The 4,307-nt window shown below is 38.7% G+C and overlaps 1 annotated feature.

Moving 5' to 3' along the window:
- Nucleotides 1,119–1,771: an enhancer, noted in NCBI's record as "OCT4-NANOG hESC enhancer chr1:96048206-96048858 (GRCh37/hg19 assembly coordinates)". NCBI's record gives its function as "activates a minimal SCP1, AML or CMV promoter by ChIP-STARR-seq in primed H9 embryonic stem cells {active_cell/tissue: H9 hESC(primed)}" and the evidence as "EXISTENCE:reporter gene assay evidence [ECO:0000049][PMID:30033119]".

Raw genomic sequence — 4,307 nt, 5'->3', positions numbered from 1 at the left:
TGCGTTCAGCTTACATTTTCTTCTTTGGGAGCTTATTTCTGTCTACCAATATAGCTTAGGCATCAGGTAGCACAGATATATTAAAGACAAATGAAGGTAGAAACCCCAACAGGAGGAAAATTATTGTTTTAGCCATTACCTAGCACTTCTTGTATTGAATCAGTACTGAAACCATTTTTCCCCTCCTAATTCATTATCATTACCTTAGCTCTAAAGTCTTTATGGCTTTATTCTGCACCTGGAGTAGGAACCACCCTCTCAGAATTCAAGCAGAGAACATCAAGTGGACCAAACCACACAGATCAGAATAACACACTCCTATCTTTTATCTGACATCTCCTTTTTTTCAGCTAAACTCAGACGCCACTCTATTGTTTTAGCTGATGCTGCCTGACAGGGAAGATGACTGATTCAAGTGACAGAAGGGGTTTCAATAGAGAAAGAAGCCTGTTTAAGCTCTGGCCTGTCTGCTCCAGTAAATCTCTGGTTTTATCAGCTAGGTGCAACTGGCTCATTTCCACTAGATCGGTGGCAGTCCATCTCTTTCAAGCCCCTTGTCAGGGAAGCCTTCAGGTGCCACAGCATGCCAGGGTTGATATAAGTCAAACCTGGTGTGAACAAGGATTAACCTCTAAGATTGCATGAGACTCCCTTTCAGTCTATTCCAGGCAGGGACACGAGAAACTATAAACTCGATTAAACAAGGTAAACTTTCCTGTGTTCTTCTGCAGCAAGCATCTCATTTGCATTCCTTCAGCAGTTTGAATAAACATAACCATTGACCTGGGCAGCTCTTCCTGAGAGACCCCAGAGCTGGCACACGGTGTGAGGAGGAATAATTTCAATGTCGTCGTGGCAAAACTGGACAGCCTGTCAGAAACATGAAAACGGCTTTTGAAATCTGCATGTCTGTGTGAAGGTATAAAATATTTATACCTCAGATTAAAATATTTTATTGAATTAATATTGATTTACTATTAATTTTTAAATAGATTCATATTTCATGAGACACTCACAATGAACCCACCAATTGGGCCTCAGTGAGTGAAACCAATTACACAAATTGTTAAGGAAGCAACCAAGAAAGCAACTCTCAATGCCTGGGGAGAGACAAAAGGAATGTGAAAATCTGGCTTTATGATAAAATAAACATAATGTCTATATGCAACTGAAAGAAATACCTCATCGCACTGCTCACTTTTATGTAGGCTTTTTCTTTGTAATGTATAGCAGTGGGGTAGCCCTTGGCCAATTTTTTTTTCCTTTTTTAAGAAAGTGATCTACGTTTGGCCTCACATTTGAAAACTTCACTGCAGTGACTTTTTTTTCAAAACAGCAATTAATTCTTTCCTTCCAAGAGGAAACTGTAATAATAATAGCTACTGAAAAGTGAAGCTTCGTTAAGAGTTTCTCCCTCTAGTATTGGGCAAAGCCCTTCAGGAAAGTGCTGACAGCTAAAAACAAAAGACATTGATTGCTGTGCTCAATTAGCATCTTCAGACACAAAGCGATGGTGGCTAAGATGAGGCCTCCCAAGTGCTTTTGTACCTGCTCCATTTCAATCTGAGTCCAGAAACTTAACTGTTCCTCCCTCAGCTCTGCTATTATGCTTTCCATAATCATACCTGTATTTTTGTTTTGAAAACTCATATCGCCATCATTTCACTAGGTTCCCTTTTGGTAGGAAAATGTTTTCTAATTTATACAAGGCCTTTATACAGCCTAGGCAACAGACCCAGTTCATCTTTATTCATCTTTTTCTTTTTATATCTCATTCATGTTTTCCTTTTCTTATTCAACCATTCTAAATTGGGCCGCACTTAACACAGTTTATTGCAGTCAGTCCTTTTTTTGCACAAAACACCAGTATGTACAGTTACAGGACAAAATAAGGATTATTCTTCATTTTGTGATGAAGGGTTTTACTGTGAGCAAGATTTTAAAAGGCATGGGAAGTCTGCAGGAGATGCTAGGCTGGGTTAGGATAGCCGCATGGGGCTAAGATGATGCCCAGGGTCTCCTAATTAGATAAAGCCATTGTTTAGCTTCAGACAATACCTGTTTACAGTTCAATAAACAACTTGTCACAGTTGCTTGCTCAAAGCAGACCTAGATGTCAATGCAAACAGTTAGTACAGAGGTAGTGAAATAAATTGGTCTCCTGAGTAAATAAATTGAGCAGCAATGTGAAACTGCCTCATCAGTACTGAGGAAGATAATCATTTATAAAGGTTTAAAATGGTGTTTCATAAGTATTGACATTTAGAGAAATGTCTTTCCCCATCTAAATGACTTACCCCCCAACCTTTTCCTTTTTCTACCAGCCACTAAAAGAGAAGAAGAAAATAAAAAGAGAAGATAAAGTATTTCCAGGGTCATTCCATCAAAGTTTTTTAATGCTTTTATATAAAATTTAATAAACATCTAAAAGATGCCTGGTCTTGAATATAAATTATGAATAAGTATAGCACCTGCCTTCAAGGATTTTCCATTCTGTCATCATAGAATGAAATCAGACAGAAAGATAAGACAGGTGGAAAGGTCATTTGGCCAAATGCCTGGGTTTTGTTGTTGTTTCTTATTGACGAGTGATGAAGGAGAAACCAATAGAAGCAAGAACAGAATGGAGGTGTGTGCCTAGAAACCATTGTCAGGGAGGTGAAGCAAGGGTGGTGGGAAGAAGAAATGAGGTGACACTGTTTGGTGACTTCTTTTATGGGGCTAATGACTGCACATAATGGCATTCCCTTTCCCAAAGATCTTTGAAAGTCCTGGGAGATTCAGCTGAACAACTGAATGCAAAGATTTTACAACAAGTTATTACACATGCAAATAGAGATGTCTCAGAGACCCTGTCAGAGACCCTCATGCACACGTAAACACCAGGAAGCACAGTGGCAAATTCCAATTATTTGAATTTTGTAAGAGAAGAAGGCATTAACATTTACTCACAGGCAGCTTACAATCTTGGCTATGGTATACAACATACACCAGCATATCAGAGCGCCAGAAAGACTAATCCAAAGGGATCAGCCAACTGACATGGCATTACATGGTTGGGAGAGGGAGAGCTAAATTTATAAATATATTAGAAATCAGAAATCTTGTCCTTACTATATTCTTTCTTCTTCCTTCTTTTTGTTCAACCCCATCTTATACCCTACCCCACAGAGCCTAAGTGAAAGAGCTCTTGCCCCCAAAATGGTAGAGCACCCACCCTCAATTAGACTCATGTAACCCTCAGAGCACTTATTTTCCAAGAATTCACTTTACCTGGCCCATTATTAAAGCCTACTGAATTCTGCCACTATGAATAACATTTATTTCCCTTTAACATTGAATTTTTTTAAATGTACACTTGGAGTTTATGGCAACAGAAGCCTTTTTTTGAAATGAGAAAATAAAACTGGAGTGCGGTCAATACTATTATAAACCCCAATGATCCTTTCTTAAGATGCATATTTAACATCTGCCCTTGTAACTCAAACTCCCTGTATTCCTGGCTCTTTACAACCACACCTGCATTTTCAAATGGAGTTCACAAACTGACTGTAAGATTTCTTTCACTGGCATTTATGTCGTGGTCACAGGCCTGAGAGCACATAATGCCAGGATTACTGCTGACCTGTCCTCCGTGGAAATCTGAGCTCAGTAGTGTCTCTATAAGATGTTAGCTTTCAATGCTACTCTAGACAAAATTGGCAGTGGATGTAGTTTTTCACTTCTATTCCCAGCTTCCATGTTCTGAGACAAAACCTCATTTACTCCATGCTTCTCAGAAGGGCCCAGTGCTCTTAGTCTTCTCCCCTTTTAGAGCCTTTTTTATGGGGTGGGCGAAGGGGAGGCTCACCAATACAGAGTGAAAAGGGAAGGAATTGGTATGAAAAAACACAGGTTCCATCCCTTACTGGCTGTGTAACCTTGTTCGAGCCATGAAATCTTCTCAGCTCATATTCCTCATGTGTTAAATAGGGATAATAAAGAGATTTACTTCCTAAGGAGGATGCACATGTTACTGTTACAAAATAGATAAAGTATTTTGAAACTTAAAGGGTCAATCAGGTACTACTTTCATAATGATTATTAATTCACTCAAAAATTTAATTGAACATCTACTATTTTTGATGTTGATACAGTGATGAATAAGATGAGGTCTCTGACCTCACAGACATAATCTGATAGAGAATGTCATGGAAAGAATAATATGAATAGCATTAGATTAGAACCATAACAGAGGTATTAATCAAGTGTTATGGGGCCACAGATATGGAAGTAATTATTTTGGAGGCAAATCATGGAAACTGGGT

Source organism: Homo sapiens, chromosome 1, assembly GCF_000001405.40.
Source record: "Homo sapiens chromosome 1, GRCh38.p14 Primary Assembly".
NCBI classification, from domain to species: Eukaryota; Metazoa; Chordata; class Mammalia; order Primates; family Hominidae; genus Homo; species Homo sapiens.
The sequence above is the reverse complement of the archived record's forward strand: the minus strand, read 5'-3'. Positions and strand labels throughout refer to the sequence as shown.